This window comes from Homo sapiens, chromosome 16 (genome assembly GCF_000001405.40).
Source record: "Homo sapiens chromosome 16, GRCh38.p14 Primary Assembly".
Taxonomy (NCBI): Eukaryota; Metazoa; Chordata; class Mammalia; order Primates; family Hominidae; genus Homo; species Homo sapiens.
This window is the reverse complement of record NC_000016.10, coordinates 31290165-31315862: the sequence shown is the minus strand read 5'-3', so window position 1 is coordinate 31315862 and position 25698 is coordinate 31290165. Positions and strand designations below refer to the sequence as shown.

Below are 25698 nucleotides of genomic sequence, written 5' to 3'. Positions count from 1 at the left end.
GGACAGTCTTTTTAACAAATGGTGTTAAGAACACTGGATATCCACAGGCAAAAGAATGAAACTGAGCCTTTATCTCAAACCAAATACAAAAATCAAAAGTGCTGGGCCGGGTGCAGTGGCTCACGCCTGTAATCCCAGCACTTTAGGAGACTGAGGCGGGTGGATTACCTTAGATCAGGAGTTCAAGACCAGCCTGGCCAACATGGTGAAACCCCGTCTCTATTAAATATACAAAAAAGTAGCCAGGCATGGTGGCGGAGGCCTGTAATCCCAGCTACTTGGGAGGCTGAGGCAGGAGAATCGCTGGGACCCGGGAGGTGGAGGTTGCAGTGAGCTGAGATCGTGCCACTGCACTCCAGCCTGGGCAATAGAGAGAGACTCCATCTAAAATAAAATTAAATTAAAAAATAAAAAAATTAAAAAGTGAGTTAAAGGCTTAAATGTAAGATCTAACACTATAAACTATTAGAAGGAAACGTAGAGGGAAAGCTTCATGACATTGGTCTGGGCAATGATTTTTTTATATGATCCTGAAAGCACAAGCAACAAAAACAAAAACAGACAAATGGAATTGCATCAAACTAAAAAGCTTCTGCACAATAAAGGAATAATTAACAGAGTGAAGAGACAACCTACAGACTGGGGGAAAATATTTGCAAACCACACAACTGATAAATGGTTAATATCCATAACACATAAAGAACTCAATAGTAAGAAAATAAATAACCCAATTTAAAAATGGGCAAAGAGGGCCGGGTTCGGTGACTCACACCTGTAATCCCAGCACTTTGGGAGGCTGAGGCAGGTGAATCACTTGAGATCAGGAGTTTGAGACCAGCCTGGCCAACATGGTGAAATGCCATCTCTACTAAAAATACAAAAATTAGCTGGGTGTGGTGGTGGGCACCTGTAATCCCAGCTACTCAGGAGGCTGAGGCAGGAGAATCACCTGAACCTGGAGGCAGAGGTTGCAGTTCACGCTACTGTACTCCAGCCTGGGTGACAGACTGAGACTCCATCTCAAAAAAAAAAAAAAAAAAACCCTGCCTCCTACTACCACAGGAGGAACAGCCTAACCGTTTGCTGTAAAAGTTGGCTGTAGCTGATCTTGTGAAAACTACTTTAAATTTCATATGCAGCCAAAAAAGAGCCCATATAGCCAAGACAATCCTAAGCAAAACAACAAAGCTGGAAGCATCACACTACCTGACTTCAAACTATACTACAAGGCTACAGTAACCAAAACAGCATGGTACTGATACCAAAACAGATATATAGACAAATGAAACAGAACAGAGGCCTCAGAAATATCACCACACATCTACAACCATCTGATCTTCAACAAACCTGACAAAAGCAGGAAATGGGGAAAGGATTCCCTATTTAATAAATGCTTCTGGGAAAACTGGCTAGCCATATGCAAAAAACTGAAACTAGATCCCTTCCTTACACCTTATATAAAAATTAACTTAAGATGGATTAAAGACTTAAATGTAAAATTTACAACCATAAAAACCCTAGAATAAAACCTAGGCAGTACCATTCAGGGCATAGGCATGGGCAAAATCTTCCTTACTAAAACACCAAAAGCAATTGCAACAAAAGCCAAAATTGACAAATGAGATCTAATTAAACTAAAGAGCTTCTGCACAGCAAAAGAAACTATCATCAGAGTGAACAGGCAGCCTACAGAATGAGAGAATATTTTTGCAATCTATCCATCTGACAAAGGTCTAATATCCAGAATCTACAAGGAACATAAACAAATTTACAAGAAAAAAACAAACAACCCCATCAAAAAATGGGCAAAGGATATGAACAGATACTTCTCAAAAGAAGACATTTATGTGGCCAACAAACATATGAAAAAAAAAAGCTCATCACTGGTCATTAGAGAAATGCAAATCAAAACCACAATGAGATACCATCTCATGCCAGTTAAAATGATGATCATTAAAAAGTCAGGAAACAACAGATGCTGGAGAGGATGTGGAGAAATAAGAATGCTTTTACACTGTTAGTGGGAGTGTAAATCAGTTCAACCATTGTAGAAGACAGTGTGGCGATTCCTCAAGGATCTAAAACCAGAAATACCATTTGACCCAGCAATCCCATTACTGGGTATATACCCAAAGGATTATAAATCATTCTACTATAAAGACACATGCACATGTATTTTTACTGAAGCACTATTTACAATAGCAAAGACTTGGAACCAACCTAAATGCCCATCAATGATAAACTGTATAAAGAAAATGTGGTACATATACACCATGGAATACTATGCAGCCATAAAAGAGAATGAGTTCATGTCCTTTGCAGGGACATAGATGAAACTGGAAACCATCATTCTCAGCAAACTAACACAGGAACAGGAAAGCAAACACCACATACTCTCACTCATAAGTGGGAGTTGAACAATGAGAATACATGGACACAGGGAGGGGAACATCACTGGAGCCTGTTGAGGGGTGGGGATCAAGGGGGAGGGAGAGCATTAGGACAAATACCTAATGCATGTGAGGCTTAAAACCTAGACAACGGGTTGATGGGTGCAGCAAACCACCATGGCACTTGTATACCTAGGTAACAAACCTACATGTTCTGCACATGTATCACAGAACTTAACGTATAATTTTTTTTTTTGAGACGGAGTCTCGCTCTGTTGCCAGGCTGGCGTGCAGTGGTGCAGTCTTGGCTCACTGCAACCTCCGCCTCCTGGGTTCAAGCAATTCTCCTGCCTCAGCCTCCCAAGTAGCTGGGATTACAGGCACACGCCACCAAGCCCAGCTAATTTTTGTATTTTTAGTAGAGATGGGGTTTCACCATGTTGGCAAGGCTGGTCTTGAACTCCTGACCTCGTGATCCGCCCGCCTCGGCCTCCCAAAGTGCTGGGATTACAGGCATGAGCCACTGTGCCTGGCCCAATGTGTAATTTAAAAAAGAAAAAATAAATAAAAACATGAAGATTTAAAAAAAAAAAAAAAAAGACTGCTCCCTACTACCACAGGAGGACGGACCAGCCTAAGCATTCACTGCAAAAGATGGCTATAATCGATCTTGTGAAAGCATTACTGAGCAGATCAAGATCTCTGGGAATGAACACTAAAGATGTTCTGAATAAATTATAGTCCGGCTGAGTGCAGTGGCTCACACCAGTAGTCCCAGCACTTTGGGAGGCCAAGGTGGGAAGATCACTTGAGCCCAGGAGTTGGAGACCAGCCTGGGAAACATAGACAGACCCTGTCACTGCAAAAGAAATTTAAATATTAGCCAGGTATGGTGGCATACACCTGCAGTCAAAGACACTTAGGAGGCTGAGGCAGGCGGATCACATGAGCCTGGGAGGTCAAGGCTGCAGTGAGCCATGATTGCACCACTTCACTCCAGCCTGCATGACAGACCAAGACCCTGTCTCAAAAATAATAATAATAAATAATAAATACATTTTAATGCAGTGGCATTTTAGTGTCTTTTTTGAAAACAAAAATTACATGTAATGTTACATTCTTGCATGTTCTTTGTTGATAGCATTAATTGATTCATTGGATTTCTTTTCTTTTTCTTTTTTATTATTATAATACTTTAAGTTTTAGGGTACACATGCACAACGTGCAGGTTTGTTACATATGTATACATGTGCCATGTTGGTGTGCTGCACCCATTAACTCGTCATTTAGCATTAGGTATATCTCCTAATGCTATCCCTCCCCCCTCCCCCCACCCCACAACAGTCCCTGGTGTGTGATGTTCCCCTTCCTGTGTCCATGTGTTCTCATTGTTCAATTCCCACCTATGAGTGAGAACATGCAGTGTTTGGTTTTTTGTCCTTGCGATAGTTTGCTGAGAATGATGGTTTCCAGCTTCATCCATGTCCCTACAAAGGACATGAACTCATCCTTTTTTATGGCTGCGTAGTGTTCCATGGTGTATATGTGCCACACTTTCTTAATCCAGTCTATCATTGTTGAACATTTGGGTTGGTTCCAAGTCTTTGCTATTGTGAATAGTGCCGCAATAAACACTTGTATGCATGTGCCTTTATAGCAGCATGATGTATAATCCTTTGGGTATATACCCAGTAATGGGATGGCTGGGTCAGATGGTATTTCCAGTTCTAGATCCCTGAGGAATCACCACACTGACTTCCACAATGGTTGAACTAGTTTACAGTCCCACCAACAGTGTAAAAGTGTTCCTATTTCTCCACATCCTCTCCAACACCTGCTGTTTCCTGACTTTTTAATGATTGCCATTCTAACTGGTGTGAGATGGTATCTCATTGTGGTTTTGATTTGCATTTCTCTGATGGCCAGTAATGATGAGCATTTTTTCATGTGTCTTTTGGCTGCATAAATGTCTTCTTTTGAGAAGTGTCTGTTCATATCCTTCACCCACTTTTTGATGGGGTTGTTTGTTTTTTTCTTGTAAATTTGTTTGAGTTCATTGTAGATTCTGGATATTACCCCTTTGTCAGATGAGTAGGTTGCAAAAATTTTCTCCCATTCAGTAGGTTGCCTGTTCACTCTGATGGTAGTTTCTTTTGCTGTGCAGCAGCTCTTTAGTTTAATTAGATCCCATTTGTCAATTTTGGCTTTTGTTGCCATTGCTTTCGATGTTTTAGACATGAAGTCCTTGCCCATGCCTATGTCCTCAATGGTATTGCCTAGGTTTTCTTCTAGGGTTTTTATGGTTTTAGGACTAACATGTAAGTCTTTAATCCATCTTGAATTAATTTTTGTATACGGTGTAAGGAAGGGATCCAGTTTCAGCTTTCTACATATGGCCAGCCAGTTTTCCCAGCACCATTTATTAAATAGGGAATCCTTTCCCCATTTCTTCTTTTTGTCAGGTTTGTCAAAGATCAGATAGTTGTAGATATGCGGCACTATTTCTGAGTGCTCAGTTCTGTTCCATTGGTCTATATCTCCAGCAGCTGAAGGTCCTGACTGTTAGAAGGAAAACTAACAACAGAAAGGACATCCACACCAAAAACCCATCTGTACGTCACCATCATCAAAGACCAAAGGTAGATAAAACCACAAAGATGGGGAAAAAACAGAGCAGAAAAACCGGAAACTCTAAAAATCAGAGCGCCTCTCCTCCTACAAAGGAACGCAGCTCCTCACCAGCAACGGAACAAAGCTGGACGGAGAATCACTTTGACGAGTTGAGAGAGGAAGGCTTCAGAAGATCAAACTACTCTGAGCTAAAGGAGGAAGTTCAAACCAATGGCAAAGAAGTTAAAAACTTTGAAAAAAAATTAGACGAATGGATAACTAGAATAATCAATGCGGAGAAGTCCTTAAAGGACCTGATGGAGCTGAAAACCACGGCACGAGAACTACGTGACGAATGCACAAGCCTCAGTAACTGACGCGATCAACTGGAAGAAAGGGTATCAGCGATGGAAGACGAAATGAATGAAATGAAGCGTGAAGAGAAGTTTAGAGAAAAAAGAATAAAAAGAAATGAACAAAGCCTCCAAGAAATATGGGACTATGTGAAAAGACCAAATCTACATCTCATTGGTGTACCTGAAAGTGACGGGGAGAATGGAATCAAGTTGGAAAACACTCTGCAGGATATTATCCAGGAGAACTTCCCCAATCTAGCAAGGCAGGCCAACATTCAAATTCAGGAAATACAGAGAACGCCACAAAGATACTCCTCGAGAAGAGCAACTCCAAAACACATAATTGTCAGATTCACCAAAGTTGAAATGAAGGAAAAAATGTTAAGGGCAGCCAGAGAGAAAGGTTGGGTTACCCACAAAGGGAAGCCCATCAGACTGGCAGCTGATCTAGTCTGATGGGCTTCCCTTTGTGGGTAACCCGAACTTTCTCTCTCAGCAGAAACTCTACAAGCCAGAAGAGAGTGGGGGCCAATATTCAACATTCTTAAAGGAAAGAATTTTCAACCCAGAATTTCATATCCAGCCAAACTAAGCTTCATAAGTGAAGAAGAAATAAAATACTTTACAGACAAACAAATGCTGAGAGATTTTGTCACCACCAGGCCTGCCCTAAAAGAGCTCCTGAAGGAAGCACTAAACATGGAAAGGAACAGCCGGTACCAGCCACTGCAAAAACATGCCAAACTGTAAAGACCATCAAGGCTAAGAAGAAACTGCATCAACTAACGAGCAAAATAACCAGCTAACATCATAATGACAGGATCTAATTCACACATAAAAATACTAACCTTAAATGTAAATGGGCTTAATGTTCCAATTAAAAGGCACAGACTGGCAAATTGGATAAAGAGTCAAGACCCATCAGTGTGCTGTATTCAGGAAACCCATCTCAAGTGCAGAGACACACATAGGCTCAAAATAAAGGGATGGAGGAAGATCTACCAAGCAAATGGAAAACAAAAAAAGGCAGGGGTTGCAATCCTAGTCTCGGGTAAAACAGTCTTTAAACCAACAAAGATCAAAAGAGACAAAGAAGGCCATTACATAATGGTAAAGGGATCAATTCAACAAGAAGAACTAACTATCCTAAATATATATGCACCCAATACAGGAGCACCCAGATTCATAAAGCAAGTCCTTAGTGACCTACAAAGAGACTTAGACTCCCACACAATAATAATGGGAGACTTTAACACCCCACTGTCAACATTAGACAGATCAACGAGACAGAAAGTTAACAAGGATATCCAGGAATTGAACTCAGCTCTGCACCAAGCGGACCTAATAGACATCTACAAAACTCTCCACCCCAAATCAACAGAATATACATTCTTTTCAACACCACACCACACCTATTCCAAAACTGACCACATAGTTGGAAGTAAAGCACTCCTCAGCAAATGTAAAAGAACAGAAATTATAACAAACTGTCTCTCGGACCACAGTGCAATCAAACTAGAACTCAGGGTGAAGAAACTCACTCAAAACCGCTCAACTACATGGAAACTGAACAACCTGCTCCTGAAGGACTACTGGGTACATAACAAAATGAAGGCAGAAATAAAGATGTTCTTTGAAACCAATGAGAACAAAGACACAACATACCAAAATCTCTGGGACACATTCAAAGTAGTGTGTAGAGGGAAATTTATAGCACTAAATGCCCATAAGAGAAAGCAGGAAAGATCTAAAATTGACACCCTAACATCGCAATTAAAAGAACTAGAGAAGCAAGAGCAAACACATTCAAAAGCTAGCAGAAGGCAAGAAATAACTAAGATTAGAGCAGAACTGAAGGAAATAGAGACACAAAAAACCCTTCAAAAAATTAGTGAATCCAGGAGCTGGTTTTTTTGAAAAGATCAGCAAAATTGATAGAGCCCTAGCAAGACTAATAAAGAAGAAAAGAGAGAAGAATCAAATAGATGCAATACAAAAATGACAAAGGGGATATCACCACCTATCTCACAGAAATACAAACTACCATCAGAGGATACTACAAACACCTCTACGCAAATAAACTAGAAAATCTAGAAGAAATGGATAAATTCCTCGACACATACACTCTCCCAAGACTAAACCAGGAAGAAGCTGAATCTCTGAATAGACCAATAACAGACTCTGAAATTGAGGCAATAACTAATAGCTTACCAACCAAAAAAAAGTCCAGGACCAGATGGATTCACAGCCGAATTCTACCAGAGGTACAAGGAGGAGATGGTACCATTCCTTCTGAAACTCTTCCAATCAATAGAAAAAGAGGGAATCCTCCCTAACTCATTTTATAAGGCCAGCATCATCCTGAGACCAAAGCCTGGCAGACACACAACAAAAAAAGAGAATTTTAGACCAATATCCTTGATGAACATTTATGCAAAAATCCTCAATAAAATACTGGCAAACCGAATCCAGCAACACATCAAAAAGCTTATCCACCATGATCAAGTGGGCTTCATCCCTGGGATGCAAGGCTGGTTCAACATACGAAAATCAATAAACGTAATCCAGCATATAAACAGAACCAAAGACGAAAACCGCATGATTATCTCAATAGATGCAGAAAAGGCCTTTGACAAAATTCAACAACCCTTCATGCTAAAAACTCTCCATAAATTAGGTACTGATAGGACATATCTCAAAATAATAAGAGCTATCTATGACAAACCCACAGCCAATATCATACTGAATGGACAAAAACTGGAAGCATTCCCTTTGAAAACTGGCACAAGACAGGGATGCCCTCTCTCACCACTCCTATTCAACATAGTGTTGGAAGTTCTGGCCAGGGCAATCAGGCAGCAGAAGGGAATAAAGGGCATTCGATTAGGAAAAGAGGAAGTCAAATTGTCCCTGTTTGCAGATGACATGACTGTATATCTAGAAAACCCCATCGTCTCAGCCCAAAATCTCCTTAAGCTGATAAGCAACTTCAGCAAAGTCTCAGGATACAAAATCAATGTGCAAAAATCACAAGCATTCTTACACACCAGTAACAGACAAACAGAGAGCCAAATCATGAGTGCACTTCCATTCACAATTGCTTCAAAGAGAACAAAATATATAGGAATCCAACTTACAAGGGATGTGAAGGACCTCTTGAAGGAGAACTACAAACCACTGCTCAATGAAATAAAAGAGGATACAAACAAATGGAAGAACATTCCATGCTCGTGGGTAGGAAGAATCAATATTGTGAAAATGGCCATACTGCCCAAGGTAATTTATAGATTCAATGCCATCCCCATCAAGCTACCAATGACTTTCTTCACAGAATTGGAAAAAACTACTTTAAAGTTCATATGGAACCAAAAAAGAGCCCGCATTGCCAAGTCAATCCTAAGCCAAAAGAACAAAGCTAGAGGCATCACGCTACCTGACTTCAAACCATACTACCAGGCTACAGTAACCAAAACAGCATGGTACTGGTCTTTTCTTTTTTTCTTTTGTGACACAACTTTTAGTCTCACTTGCGTTTATGTGTGTTTTTCAGACAACAATTAATAATTATATTGAAAATGTAGCAGCAATTGTCTTGAAGGGTGTTCATATATTATTGGACACTAATACTAACTACATTGGACTAACTTGTGTAAACTCTCTGTTAAACATGATTTAAAAGTCATTAAGAGTACTTTGCGGCCAGACATGGTGGCTCATGCCTGTAATCCCAGCACTTTGGGATGCTGAGACGGGCAGATCACAAGGTCAGTAGTTCGAGACCAGACTGGCCAACATGGTGAAACCCAATCTCTACTAAAAATACAAAAATTAGCTGGGCATGGTGGCGCACTCCTGTAATCCCAGCTACTCAGGAGGCTGAGGCAAAAGAATCTCTTGCCCAGGAGGCAGAGGTTGCAGTAAGCCAAGATCATGCCACTGTACTCCAGTGTGGGCAACAGGGCAAAATTCTCCATCTCAAAAAGAAAAAAAAAAAAAAAGAGTACCTTGCATTGCTAATAGATATTGCCATTAGCTGTGAAGGTTTGAGTGTTATATGTCTGCACTGATATTCTTATCAAAAATTTCTATATTAGCTTCAAATATTCAGTTTAAAACTCAAACTTTGAGATTTTTGTAGCTTTTAGTTGTTTAATTTTGAAAATTTAATATGTTGATGGAAGTTTTAAATTATCATCGTTATTTTACAAAATGATGGAGGAGGAGCTAAAATTCCTTGTTAAGAGAATTATGAAGCGTCAAAAAAATTCCTCATTAGGACACAAGGAAAAAGGATGGCCTGCTAAATCATTCAAAATGCTTTTCGGTACCTTGGATTAATCATATAATAGCTATAGCAAGAAATAGATACCAAGAACAGACCAATAACAAGCAGCGAGATCAAATCAGAAAGAGCCCAGGACCAGAAGGTTTCACAGCTGAATTTTAACAGACATTCAAAGAATTGGTACCAATGATATGATACTATTCCAAAAGATAGAGAAAGAGGGAATCCTCCCTAAATCATTCTATAAAGCCAGTATCACACTAATATCAAAACCAGAAAAGGATATAACAAAAAAAAGAAAACTACAGAACAATATCCCTGATGAATATAGAAGCAAAAATCCTTAACAAAATACTAGCTAACCAAATCCAACAGTACATCAAAAAGATAATACATCATGATCAAGTCTGTTTCATCCCAAGGACGCAGGAATGGTTTAATATATGCAAGTCAATAAATGTGATACATCACATAAACAGAATTAAAGAAGAAAACTATATAATCATCTCAATAGATGCAGAACAAGCATTTGATAAAATCCAGCATCCCTTTATGATTAAAAAAAGGCTTTCAATAAATTAGACATAGAAGGGACTTATCTCAAAATAATAAAAGCCATTATCTGACAAAAGCACAGCCAACTTCATATTGAAGGGGGAAAAGTTGAAAGCATTCTCACTAAGAACTGGAACAAGACAAGAATGCCCACTTTCAGCACTTCTATTCAACACAGTACTGAAAGTCCCAGCCAAATCAAATCAGTCAAGAGAAAGAAATAAAGGGGTCCAAATTGGAAAAGAGGAAGTCAAATTAGAGCTGTTTGCCAATGATATGATCATTTACCTAGAAAATGCTAAAGGCTCATCCAAAAGATTCCTAGATCTGATAAACAATTTCAGTAGTCTCAGGTTACAAAATCAATGTATGCAAATCAGTAGCACTGCTATACACCAACAATGACAAAGCTGAGAATCAAATCAAGAACTCAACCCCTTTTATAACAGCTACAAAAATAAAATAAAATGCCTAGGAATATAGTTAACCAAGGAGGTGAAGCTCCCTACAAGGAAAACTACAAAACACTGCTGAAATAAATTATAGATGACACAAACAAATGGAAATATATCCCATGCTCATGGATAGGAAGAATCAATATTGTGAAAATGACCATACTGCCCAATCTACAGATTTAATGCAATTCCCATCAAAATACCAACATCATTTTTCACATAACTAGAATAAAACAATCCTAAAACTCATATGGAACAAAAAAAAAGAGCCCAAATAGCCAAAGCAATACTAAGCAAAAAGAACAAATCTGGAGGCATCACAGTACCAGACTTCAAATTATACTACAAGGCTATAGTTACCAAAACAGCATGGTACTGGTATAAAAATAGGCACTTAGACCAATGGAACAAAACAAAGAACCCAGAAATAAAACCAAATACTTACAGCCAACTGATCTTTTACAAAGCATACAAAAACATAAATTGGGAAAAGGACACCCTATTCAGTAAATGGCGCTGGGAAAACAGGCAAATCACATGTAGAAGAATGAAACTGGATCTTCTTCTCTCAACTTATACAAAAATCAACTCAAGATGGATCAAAGACTGAAATCTAAGACCTGAAACCATAACAATTCTACAAGATAACATTGGAAAAACTCTTCTGGACATTGGCCTAGGCAAAGAATTCATGACCAAGACCCCAAAAGCAAATGCAACAAAACCAATAAATGGGACCTAATTAAACTAAAAAGCTTCTGCACAGCAAAAGAAATAATCATCAGAGCAAACAGAAAACCCACAGAATGCAAGAAAATATTTGCCAACTATGCATCTGACAAAGGACTACTATCCAGAAACTATAAGGAACTCAAACAAATCAGCAAGGAAAAAACAAATAATCCCATCAAAAAGTAGGCAAAGGATATGAATAGACAATTCTCAAAAGAAGATATACAAATGGCCGATAAACATATGAAAAAAATGCTCAACATCACTAATCATCAAGGAAATGCAAATTAAAACCACAATAAAATACCACCTTACTCCTGCAAGAATGGCCATAACTAAAAAGTCAAAAAACAATAGATCTGGCATGGATGTGATGAAAAGGGGACACTTTTACACTGCTGGTGGGAATGTAAATTAGCACAACCTCTATGGAAAACAGTATGGAGATTCCTTAAATAACTAATAGTAGATCTACCATTTGATTCAGTAATCCCACTACTGGGTATCTACCCAAAGGAAAAGAAGTCATTATATGAAAAAGATACATGAACATGCATGTTTATAGCAGCACAATTCACAATTGCAAAGATATGGAACCAAACTGTGGTACCCGTCGACCAATGAGTGGATTTTAAAAAGTTATATATATGTGTGTGTGTATATGTGTATATATACACAGAGTACTACCCAGCCATAAAAAGGAACAAATAATGTATTTTGCAGCAACTTGGATAGAACTGGAGGCCATTACTGAAGTAACACAGGAATGGAAAACTAAATATATGTTTTCATTTATAAGTGGGAGCTAAACTATAAGGATGCAAAGACAAGAGTGATGTAACGGACTTTGAGGACTTGGGGAAGGGGAGTCTGGGAGGAGGTAAGAGACAAAAGACTATATATTTGGTACAGTGTACGCTGCTTTGATGACAGGTGCACTAAAATCTCAGAATTCACCACTATAGAATTCATTCATGTAACCAAAAAGCACTTGTACCCCAAAAGTTACTGAAATTTTTTAAAAAATCATATAATGACTATAGTCCACTCAGTACTTGCTTAAATTTTAGATAATAACTATAGTCCATTCAGTACTTTCTTAAATTTTAGAAAAGCTATATAAATTACTGGTACATAACTTGAAGACTGCTTTGGCTGGGTGCAGTGGCTCACATCTATAATCCTAACACTTTGAGAGGCCAAGGCAGGAGGATGGCTTGAGGCCAGAAGACCAGCCTGGCCAACATAGTGAGACTTCATCTCTACAAAAAATTGAAAAATTAGCCAAGCGTGGGGGTGCACACCTATAGTCTCAGCTACTTGGGCAGCTGAGAAGGAAGAATTGCTTGAGCCTGGGTGTCAAGACTGCAGTGAGCCATGATCTCGTCACTGCACTCCAGCCTGGGCAACAGAGGGAGACCTTGTCTCAAAAAAATAAAAAGAGAGAGAAAGAAACAGAGAGAAAGAAAGAGAGAAAGAAAAAGAAAGAAAGAAAGAAAGAAAGAAAGAAAGAAAGAAAGAAAGAAAGAAAGAAAGAAAGAAAGAAAGAAAGAAAGAAAGAGGGAGGGAAAGAGAGAGAGAGAAAGAAAGAAAGAGGGAGGGAAAGAGAGAGAGAGAAAGAAAGAAGAAAGAAAGAGAAAGAAAAAGCTGGGCGCGGTGGCTCACGCCTGTAATCCCAGCACTTTGGGAGGCTGAGGCAGGTGAATCACAAGGTCAGGTGTTCGAGACCAGCCTGGCCAACATGGTGAAACCCCGTCTCTCCTAAAAAGAGAAAAATATTAGCCAGGCGTAGTGGCGGGCGCCTGTCATCTCAGCTACTCGGCAGGCTGAGGCAAGAGAATAGCTTGAACCTGGGATGCGGAGGTTGCAGTGAGCCGAGCTCACTCCACTGCACTCCATCCTGGGCAACAGCACGAGACTCCGTCTCAAAACAAAAACAAAAACAAAAGAGAAAGAGAAAGAAAAAAAAGAAAGAAAGAAAGAAGGAAAGAAAAAAGAAAGAAAGAAAGAAAGAAAGAAAGGAAGGAAGAAAGAAAGAAAGAAAGAAAGAAGAAAGAAAGAAAGAAAGAAAAAAGAAAAGAAAAGAAAAAAGAAAAGAAAAGAAAGAAAAAAAGATTGTTCTTCCTTTGGCTAATTAAGTAATGCCCTCACAGCACTAGATTGCACAGTGCTCTTACTGGATAAACTCAATAGTGCCTCTAGTTGGGTTGATTGAGGATGTCTGAAAGGCACTCACAGAGCCCGATGCCTGCTATTGCACAACAGATGAGCCTTTTCCTTTCTACACTGAGAATTTTCTTCTGTTTTTAGTGTGGTTTATTTTTGGCTCAGAAATAGTTGCTATGATGAAAATATTCCTCTGTTAGAAAAGACGGTAGCTACAACACCACTTTGAAAGAACCATGAGCATGAGCTATTTTTAAAAGCCAAAATAAGTGGGTTTTTTTTTGTCAGGGTTAATTTTTGATTATGTTAACACTGTTTTATGATAAGGTGACTTTTTTAGATTAAAGTCAAAGAGGTTCTATATTTTTATCATTACAGATCGTAGTTACAACATAGTGAGTTCTGCATACTGACTCATGTAGTGAAACCTTAAATAAGTTAGTAAGAAAAGCAATAGTTTTCTGAAGCCATGATATGGGTGATACACAGTTCATACTCAAATTATAATAAAGCTCTTCATATTTGTGAATTATAGAATACTACCTTTTATAAATCCATATTTTTAGGGAAATTTAGGAGTGATATAGAACTGGTAAATTAGTAAAATAAGTTTCACTGGATTTTTGTATATAATCATCTCTAGTACTCTGGAAATTGAGGATTCATTATGCTGTGATCAACTTCAAATACTTTTTAGTTCCAAATATATGAGCTAATAAGCCTTGCTTTTATAAGTATGTGCCAAATTCATCAACATCAATGGGTTTTCTAAAGCGAATATAAGTGTCTTTCTTTTAATGTTATTTGACTCTAATAAAATGCAGGATTATATATATAAATGACAAAGTTATAGTACTTAAAATAGTATGGTACTAGCATAAAGATAGACATATAGACAAATGGAACAGAATACAGAGCCCAGAAATAAACCCATCCATATGGGTCCAACTGATTCTCCTAAATAATGCCAAGAATACACAATGGGTAAAGGATACTCTCTTAGACAAATGGTATTGGGAAACTGGATATACAAATGCAGGAGAATGCAACTTGACTCATATACCATACACAAAAATCAATTCAAAATGAATTAAAGACTTCAATGAAAAAGTAAAACATCTAGAATAAAACTCAGGGGAGAAGCTGGAAAGATGGTGGTTTGAGCAATGAGTTTATGGCTATGACACCAAAAGTACAGACGACAAAAATAACTAAGCCTGACTGCATCAAACCAAGTGAGACTTCTACACAGCAAAGGCAAGAATAAGCAGAGTAAAATATAACCTATGGAATGGGAGAGAGTATTTGCAAACCATGTATCTGATAAGGGGTTAATCTCCAAAATATATAGTGAACTCATACAACTCAATAGCAAAAAATCTAATAACTTTTCTCTTTTTTTGAGACAAGGTCTCCCTCTGTCTCCCAGGCTGGAGTGCAGTGGCACAATCTCGGCTCACTGCAACCTCCACCTCCCGGGTTCAAGCGATTCTCCCATCTCAGCCTCTGGAATAGCTGGGATTACAGGCATGCACCACCACAGCCCGGCTAATTTTTGTATTTTTAGTAGAGATGAAGTTTTACCCTGTTGGCCAGGCTGGTCTTGAACTCCTGACCTCAGGTGATACACCCGCCTCGGCTTCCCAATGTGCTGGGATTACAGGCATGAGCCGCTGCTCCCGGCCTTAATAACTTGATTTAAAAATAAGCTTAAGGGCTTGAAGAGACATTTTTTTCAGACACAAAAATGCCCAATACATACATGAAAAGATGCTCAACATCACTAATCATCAGGGAAATGCAAATCAAAGCCACAGTGAAATTTCACTTGCACACCTGCTAGCCTGGCTATTGCCAAAAAAACAAAAGACAAGTGTTGGTAAACACATGGAAAAATCAGAACCTTTGCACACTGTTGGCGAGACTGCAAAATGGTGCAGCTCCTAGGGAAAACGTATGGAAGTTCCTCAAAAAATTAGAAATAGAACTACCATATGATTTAATAATCCCACTTCTGGTTATTTAACCAGAGGAATGGGGATTATGATCTTAAAGAGATATGAACGTGCCCATGTTCATTGCAGCACTATTCACAATAGCCAGGATGTGAAAACAACCTAAATGCCTATCAACAGATGAGGGATTTTTCCTTCCCTCTCTACCAGGAAATGATGGATTTTTTTAATTGTGGTATATACATACAGTGGGATATTATTCAGCCTTAAAAAAGAAAGCCATCAGCCTGGGCAACATAGGGAGACCCCATCTCTACAAAAAATAAAAATAAATTAGACAGGCATGGTGGAATGGGCCCACAGTCCCAGCTACTCAGGAGACTGAGGTGGGAGGGTCGCTTGAGCCCAGGAGGTTGAGGCTTCCAGGAGCCGTGTTTGCACCACTGCACTCCAGCCTGTGTGACAGAACAAGACTTTGTCAAAAAAGAAGAAGGAGGAGGAGGAGGAGGAGGAGAGGAGGACGACGAGGAGGGGGAGGAGGGGGAGGAGGAGGAAGAGGAGGAGGAGGGGGAGGCGGAGGAGGAGGAGGAGGAAGAGGAGGAGGAGGAGAAGAAAAAGAAGAAAGATATTCTTTCATTTGTGACAACATGGATGAACCTGGAGGACGTTATTCTAAGTGAAATAAGCCAGTCACCAAAGGATGAATACGGCGTGGTTTCACTTATATGAGTTATCTAAAATAGCCAAACTGGCAGGGTGCGGTGGCTCACACCTGTAATCCCAGCACTTTGGGAGGCCAAGGCAGGTGGATCACTTGAGTCCGGGAGCTCAAGACCAGCCTGGACAACATGGCAAAACCCAGTCTCTACAAAAAATACAAAAATTAGCCAGGCATGGTGGTGCATGCTTGTAATCCCAGCTACTCAGGAGGCTGAGAGAGGAGAATCGCTTGAACCCAGGAGGTAAGGTTGCAGTGAGCCGAGATTGTGCCACTGCACTCCAGCCTGGGCGACAGACTGAAACTTTTGTCTCAAAAACTAAAAAAAAATAAAACAGCCAAACTCATTGAAGCAAAGAATATAATGGTGGCTGCCAGAGGCTAGAGAACAATGAGGAGTTGCTAATCAATGGGTATACATTTTCAATATGCAAGATGAAGTTCAAGAGGTCTGCTGTACAACATTGCACCAATAGATGACAGTATTACATTGTACATTTTAAAATCTGTTAAGAGGATAGGTCTCATGTTAAGTGCCCTTACCACAATAAAAAAATTTTTAAACATAAAGAAAGAAAAATGTAAGGCTAGCAAAAACCCAGAGACCAGAGGCCAGAAAACTAGATGGTCTCAGGTGGCTATGGTGGGAAAGAATATGAACAGGGAAGATGGAACCAGACTGTAAGGGTCCCTCCAGACAGTGGGCTCCACCTGGCAGGAGACAGAAAGCCAACTTACAGAGCAAAACAGTTGTCAGGTCCAGAATATAGGGTGACAAGTCATCAGGATGGGCTCCATGCTTTGCAAGACCCAATGCAAAAAAACGTAGGACCCCTTGTTGAAAAATTACTAAGAATTGAAGATGGCAATAGCAGAGCATTAAGCCAAGCACAGGGCGATTCTGAGAGAGGGGCACGTGTGACTGCACAATTCCACATCTGTGAAGTGTGCAATCCCGTAAGGTGGCCAACCGCATAGGTTTCCCAGGATGTGGGATTTCAGTACTAAATCTGGGACAGAGTTAAGCAAACTAGAGCTCTTGGTCACCTTACCAGGACCGAGATTCAGAAGAAAGGAATGCCTGCATCCCAATACTGCTAGCTTGCCATTTGCCATCGCTGGGCCTTGATCTACTCATCTGTAAAGTGGGGGTGATGAGGCTATCATGCACCTCCTATTGCTGTAGAAATAATCAATCTGGAACTAAGAGTCTTTGAGATTTCTGTGAATGTGTGTGTGTGTGTGCACGTGCACGCATGCATGTGCAAGTCTGACTCTGTCACTCTGGCTGCTGGAGTACAGTGGTGTGACCAGGACTCACTGCAGCCTCAACCTCCCAGGCTCAAGTAATCCTCCGGCCTCAGCCTCCAGAGTAGCTGGGACCATGGGTGTATGCCACCACACCTGGCTAATTTTTTTTTTTTTTTTTTTTTTTTGGAGAGATGGGTTCTCACCATGTTGCCCTGACTGGTCTTGAGCTCCTGGGCTTAAACAATCCTCCCAACTCAGCCTTCCAAAGTGCTGGGATTACAGGCGTCAGCCACCAGGCCCAGCCACATGTTATTATTTTTGAAGGTTCTGAAAGGAGTACTGTGAGAACTTATCTGGCAGCTGTGGGCACACTGAATTAGGAGAAAGATCAACAAAGAGGCTACTGTCATGACAAGGACAGTGACCAGGTCTCACCTGGCTATGGGAGGGGCTGATGCCAGATCCTGAGGTTCCGTGAAACAGGTAAACAGCACCCCGGTTGTCCTCCTCTCCTGGGGCCCCAATGGCCACGTCCGTCAGCTTGTCCCCATTTACGTCCCCCAGCACTGTTAGGGCTGCCCCAAAGCGGCCCCAGGGTTGGCCCTGCTCCCCGTAGAGAACAGCATCACACTGCCACCGAGCCCTCTGCTAAACACAAACAGTATCAGGCCCCAACCCAGGCGACCCCTCCACCCACACCGGGCCCCACCCAGCCCAGGTCCCATTGCCACTCACCCCCCTGGGCAAGGGGCACACGGACACCTGGCCCCCTCGGGTCTGCTCGTAGTAATGGGGGGCCCCGATGAGGACCAGGTCGGTGCTGCCGTTGCTGTCCACGTCCACGGAGCAGAGGGAGGCCCCGAAGTAGGCGCCGATCTGAAAGAGACAGGACCGTAATCACACACCTCTTCCCACCTAAAGCAGATGTGGAGGTTTTCTCTCTCTGAAGAAAAGTTATGCCTGCTGGGGGAATCCCTCTGGAGCAGATGTGATCTTCTATATGGTTCATGATAAATTATCACTTGAATGTGCTGCCAGCTAAAGGAACCTATATAATAAGCCTGGCAGAATGGTTTCTGCCTGTAATCCCAGCTCCTCGGGGGGCTGAAGTGGGAGGATCCCTTGAGCCAAGGAGTTTAAGGCTGCAGTGAGCTTTGTCACCACTGCACTCCAGCTTGGGCAACAGAGCAAGATCCCAATCTCTAAGTGTATATATATATTTTTTAATAATTTAAAAGATAAAAAATAAGCCTATAGTAGAGTCAATGGGCAGTGAGTGAGGATTTACTCCAGGTGGTATTCCTGGGAGATTATTAAGGCAGCAAAGAAGAATTTGGGTTGGAAAATACATAGAAAATTCTAGAAGAGAAGACAGAATACCACCCTTTCAATATATTGGGAATCTTTAGGGAGGTAAAAAGTCAAAGTTGGCACTCTGACTAATAAGGCTAATAACTGGCTTAGATTAAAAATAACTATTTGTTATTTGAATATTTGTTGTGATATTAAGAAATATCTTCAAGGTCAATATGTAGAATTCATCCATAAAATTCACCTATTTAATCATACATTCATTCATTCATTTATTCATTCATTCAACAAACAAGTGTTTCTTATTGCTAAGCACACAGCTGGGTAATAGAGATACAGTGCCTTCCAGGGCCCTCAGTGCAGCCAGGTGGAGGAGAGGAGAGTAATCAATGGATTAACAGGGAGATGTGTATAGCAATTTCAAACTGGGACAAGTTCTAGAAAGGGAATGTGCAGGGGACATCATGCCACGGCTCTGCAACGTGATTTCTGCCTCATACACCATTGAGGGAAGACTCATTGATAACTGAATACTTTATCCTAAAGTCAACAGAATTTGATTGTTTTTTAGGTCAGATTTATTGGGGAAGAGTTTACATACAATAAAATTCAGCCTTTTAGTACATAGTTTTATGAGTTTTGACAAACATATAAAGTCATATAACCGGCCAGATGCAGTGGCTCATGCCTGTAATCCCAGCATTTTGGGAGGCCAGGGCGTGTGGATCACCTGAGGTCAGGAGTTCGAGACCAACCTGGAAATCATGGTGAAACCCCATCTCTACTAAAAATACAAAAAAAAAAAAATTAGCAGGGCATGGTGGCGGGCGCCTATAGTCCCAGCTACTCAAGAGGCTGAGGCAGGAGAATGGCGTGAACCTGGGAGGTGGAGCTTGCAGTGAGCCGAGATAACGCCACTGCACTCCAGCCTGGGCAACACAGAGAGACTCTGTTAAAAAAAAAAAAAAAAAAGATAAAAAGATAATAACCATGATCAAGTGTGATTTATCCCTGGGATGCGAGATGCAAGGATGATTCCACATATGCAAATCAATTAATGTGGCATATCACATTAACAGAATGAAGGACTAAAACCACATGATCATCTCAATATACGCAAAAAAAAGCATTTGACAAAATTCAACATTCTTTTATAATAAAAACTCTCAATAAATTCGCTACAGAAGGAATGTACCTCAATATGATAAAGGCCATATACGACAAGCCCACAACAAACATCATACTCAATGGTGAAAAATTGAAAGCTTTACCACTAAAATGAGGAAAAAGGCAAGAATGCTCACTCTCACTACTTCTATGTAACATAGTACTGGAAGTCCTGGTCACAGCAATTAGGCAAGAAAAATAAATGAAAGAGACCCAAATCAGATATAAAAAAGGAAATTTGTCTCTGTTTACACTTAAAATGATATATATATAAAAACATATATATATAAATATATTTTTAAAAAACCCTAAAAACTCCACCAAAAAAGAACTACTAGAACTAATGAATAAATTCAGTAAAGTTACAGGTTACAAAATCAATGTGAAAAATCAATAGTGCTTCTATACACTAACAATGAACTATCTGAAAAAGAAATCAAGAAACAATCTCATTTACAATAGCATCAAAAAAAATACCTAAGCTTAAATTTAACCAGAGAGGTGAAAAACATGTACACTAAAACTATAAAACATTGATTAAGGAAGTTAAACAAGACAAAAATAAATGGAAAGATATCCTATGTTCATGGACTGGAGTATTAATGCAATCTTCTGATTCAGTACAATCCTTATCAAAATCCCAATGGCATTTTTTTACAAAAATAGAAAAAAAACTAAAATTTATGTAGAACCACAGAAGACCCTAAATAGCCAAAGCAATCCTCAAGAAAAAAAATACTGGAGGCATCATAATTCCTGATCTCAAAACATACTGTGTCAAGAAAGCTCTAGTAAGCATAACAGCAAGGTGGTGGCATAAAAACAGACACATCAACCAATGGAACAGAACAGGGAGGCTAGAAATAAAACTATGCATTTATGGTCAATTGATCTTCAATAAAGGTGCCAAGAATATGCAAAGGAGAAAGGACATTCTCTTCAACAAATGGTGTGGGGAGAACTGGATATTCATATTCAAAAGGATTAAATTAGACCTTTATCCCAAACCATATACAAAATCAACTCAAAATGGATTAAAGACTTAAACACAAGACCTGAAACTGTAAAACTACTAGAAGAAAACAAAGGGAAAAGCTTCTTGACAATCAAGCTTCTGAGAAATGATTTTTTGGATATGACCCCAAAAGCACAGGCAACAAAAGCAAACCAGACAAATGGGGTGGCATCAAACTAAAAAGTGTCAGCTTAACAAAAAAAGAAAATTTCAGGCCAATATTCTTGATGAACACTAATGCAAAAATCCTCAACACACTACCTGCAAACCAAATCCAGCAGCACATCAAAAATCTAATCCACCATGATCAGGTAGGCTTCATTCCCGGGGTGCAAAGTTGGTTCAACATATGCAAATCAATAAATATGATTCATCACATAAACAGAACTAAAGACAAAAACCACATGATTATCTCAATAGATGAAGAGAAGGCTTTAATAAAAGTCAACACCCCTTTATGTTAAAAATTCTCAATAAACTAGGTATTGAAGGAACATACCTCAAAATAATAAGAGCCATCTACAACAAACCCACAGCCAACATCATACTTGATGGGCAAAAGCATTCCCCTTGAAAGCCAGCACAAAACAAGGATGCCTTTGCTCACTAGTCCTATTCAACATATTATTGGAAGTTCTAGCCAGAGCAATCAGGCAAAAGAAAGAAAAAAGGGCATACAAATAGGAAGAAAGGAAGTAAAAAAGTCAAACTATCCCTGTTTGCAGACAACATGATTCTATATTTAGAAAACCCCATAGTCTTGGCCTAGGAGCTCCTTCAGCTGATAAATAACTTCAACAAAGTTTCAGGATACGAAATCAATGTACAAAAATCACTAGCACTCCTATACACCAACAAGAGCTGGGAGCCAAATCAGGAAGGCAATCCTATTCACGATTGCCACAAAAAGAATAAAATAACTAGGAATACAGCTAACCAGAGAGTTGAAAGATCTGTACAGTGAGAATTGTAAAACACTGTTCAAAGAAATCAGAGATGACACCAAAAAAATGGTAAAACATCTCATGCTCATGGATAGGAAGAATCAATATCATTAAAATGGACACACTTCCCAAAGCAATTTATAGATTCAGTGCTATTACTATTAAGCTACCAATGACATTCTTCACAGAACTAGGAAAAACTATTTTAAAATTCATATGGAATCAAAAAAGAACCTGAATAACCAAGTCAATCCTAAGCAAAAAGAACACAGAAGGAGGCATCACATTACCTGACTTCAAACTATACTACAGGGCTACAGTAACCAAAACAGCATGATACTGGTACAAAAACAGGCACATAGACCAATGGAACAGAATAGAGAGCCCAGAAATAAGGCCATACACCTATGACCATCTGATCTAAGACAAAAATAAGCAATGGGGAAAAGAATTCCTATTCAACAAATGGTGCTAGGATAACTGGCTAGCCATATGCAGAAGATTGAAACTGGACCCCTTCCTTACACCATATACAAAAATCAACTCAAGATAGACTAAAGACTTAAATGTAAAACCCAAAACTATAAGAACCCTGGAAGACAACCTAGGCAATACCATTCTAGACACAGGAATAAGCAAAGATTTCCTGACAAAGACACAAAAAGCAATCTCAACAAAAGCAAAAATTGACAAATGGCATCTAATTAAATGCAAGAGCAAAAGAAACTATCAACAGAGTGAACAGACAACCTAAAGAATGAGAGAAAATATTCACAAACTATGCATCCAACAAAGGTGTAATATCCAACATCTACAGGGTACTTAAACAAATTTACAAGAGAAAAACAACGCCATTAAAAGGTGGGAAAAGGAAATGAACAGACACTTTTCGAAAGAAGACATGCATGCAGCCAACAAGCATACAAAAAAAGCTCAAAATCATTATCATTAGAGAAATGTAAATCAAAACCACAATGAGATACCATCTCACACCAGTTAGAATGGCTATTAGTAAAAGTTAAAAAATAGATGCTGGTGAGGTTGTGAAGAAAAGGGAACACTTATACTGTTGGTGGGAGTGGTAAATTAGTTTAACCACTTGGGGAAAGCAGTATGGCAACTCCTCAAAGAGCTAAAAGCAGAACTACCATTCAACCCAGCAACCCCATTACTGGGGATATACCCAGAGTAATATATATCATCCTACCATAAAGACACATGCACATGAATATTTATTGCAGTACTAGTCACAATAGCAAAACATGGAATCAACCTAAATGCCCACCAATAACAAATAGGATTTTTTAAAATGTGGTACATATACACCGTGGAATACTATGCAGCCATAAAAATAGCAAGATCATGTCTTTTGTGGGAACATGGATGGAGCTGAAGGCCGTTATCCTTAGCAAACTAACACAAGAACAGAAAAACAAATACTGCATGTTCTCACTTATTAGTGGGAGCTAAACTATAAAGAACTTATGAACACAAAGAAGGAAACAACAGACACTGGGGTCTACTTGAGGGTGGAGGTTGGGAGGAGGCAGGAGCAGAAAAAATAACCATTGGATACTAGGCTTAATACCTGGGTGACAAAATACTCTGTACAACAAACTCCCATGACATGAGTTTACTTATATAACAAACTTTCATGTGTACCCTCAAACCTAAAGTAAAAGTTGAAAAATTATAAAATATCAATCTAATTTTTTTAAATTAAATAAATAAATAAAAAGTGACAGCTACTTAATGGTATGTATCAAGATTCTTTTCAAAATTCTTTTGGATACTCTACTTTTTTATTTTTTATATAAATTTTAGAATTGGCTAAATTCTGCAAAATATACTTCTAGGATTTTTACCTTTTTATGAATATGTAATAATTGCACATATTTATAGGGAACATGTGATATTTTTATACAAGCATACAATGTGTGATGATCAAATCAGGGTAACTGGGATATCCGTTGCCTCAAGGATTTATCATTTCTTTTGCTGGGAACATTCCAATTCCATTCCTGTAGTTATTTTGAAATACACAATAAATTATTGTTAACTATAGTCACCCTACTGTGCTACCAAACACTAGGTCTTATTTTTCCTAACTGTATTTTTGTACCCATTAACCATCCCCTCTTTACCCCATCCTCCTTACTACCCTTCCCAGTCTCTAGTAACCCATCATGCTACTCTCTACCTCCATGAGATCCATTTTTTTTTAGCTCCTACACATGAATGAGAACATGCAATATTTGTTTTTCTGTGCCCGGGTTGTTTTACTTAACATAATGTCCTCCAGTTCCAATCCTGTTATTGCAAATCACAAGATTCATTCATCTTATGGCTGAATAATATTCCTTTGTGTACCAGAAAAATGCAAATGAAAACCACAATGAGATATCATCTCATTCCAGTTAAAAGGGCTTTTATCGAAAAGACAAACAATGATGGATGCTGGCAAAGATGCAGAGAAAGAGGAACCCTCATGCACTGTTAGTAGGAATGTAAATTAGTAAAGCCACTATAGAGAACAATATGGAGGCTCCTCAAGAAAACTAAAAATGGAACTACCACATGATCCAGCAATCCCAGTGCTGGGTATATTGCCAAAGGAAAGGAAATCAGTATACTGAAGAGATAACTGCACTCCCGTGTTTATCGCAGCACTATTCACAATAGTCGAGATATAGAATCAACTTAAGTGTCCATCAACAGATGAATGGATAAAGAAAATGTGGTACATGTGCACAATGGAATATTATCCAGGATTTTTACTGCATTGAATCTGTAGATCAACCCAGGGAGAATTGACATCTTAACAATATTGGAACTATAATATTCGAATCCATGACCACAGCGTCTCTCTCCATTTATTTAGGTCTTTTATTTCTCTCATTAGTGTTTTGTAGTTTTCAGCATAAAGTTACCGTACATGATTCGTTTGATTTATACCTAAATATTTCATGGTATTTTATGCTATTGTAAATGGTACTTTTTAATTTAAATTTCCAATTGTTCAATTATATTATAGAAATAAAACTAATTTTTATACATTGCTCCTATATCCTGAGAACTTACTGAAAAAACCTATTATCATAGCTTTTTTATAGGTTCTTTGGAATTTTCCATGCAATTGTATCATCTGCAAATAGAGAGGGTTTTATTTCTTCCTTTCCTCTTTATATTTTTTTTTCTTCTTTTTCCTGCTTTATTGCATTGGCTAGGTCTTTCAGTACAATGTTGGATAGGAATTATAAAAGTAGATATTCTTGTCTTGTTTCCAATTTTAGGTGAAAAGCATTCTCTTTCACTTTTAAGTATAATGCCTGGTAGAGATTTTTTGTAAATGCTCTTTTTCAGCTTGAGGAAGTTCCCTTTAGTTCCTAGTCGGCTGAGAGTATTTTTAATCATGAAACGATGTTGTATGTTGTCAAATTAGAGTTCTATATCTGTTCAGGTGGTTACATGTTTTTTCTTCTTTAATCTGCTGTTATGGTGAATCACATTGTTTTCTTCAAAGTAGCTTTTATAATTTAGATTAAATGTATAGACCATAAAATTTACCATTTTAAAGTATAAGGTTCACTGGGTTTTAGTACCTTCACAATGTTGTGTAATCATCACCACTACCTCCAGAACATTTCCATCTTCCCAGAAAGAAATTCTCTACCTGTTAGCAGTATTTCCAATCCCCAGTCCAACCCCCAGCCCCTGGAAACCACTAATTTACTTTCTGGCTTGATGGCTTTGTAAGTTTTGAATTGGAAAGTGTGAACCCTCCAGCT

General features: G+C 39.0%; 1 protein-coding gene across 8 annotated transcripts in view; it reads right to left on the bottom strand.

Moving 5' to 3' along the window:
* The window catches only part of ITGAM (integrin subunit alpha M), a 72903-nt gene that overhangs the window by 17015 nt on the left and 30190 nt on the right, over window positions 1–25698 (bottom strand). For 5 of the 8 annotated variants that reach the window (XR_950796.1, NM_001145808.2, XM_017023216.2 and 2 more), the window contains 2 exons: window positions 18209–18349; window positions 17909–18121 (listed from right to left, as the gene is read on the bottom strand). Coding sequence is in view for 6 of the 8 variants with exons in the window: in NM_001145808.2 (NP_001139280.1) it covers window positions 17909–18121; window positions 18209–18349 (354 nt within the window). In the remaining 2 variants the exon portion in view is untranslated. The remainder of the gene's footprint in view (window positions 1–17908; window positions 18122–18208; window positions 18350–25698) is intronic. The other 3 variants (XR_007064878.1, NM_000632.4, XM_006721045.1) reach the window with 1 other exon arrangement.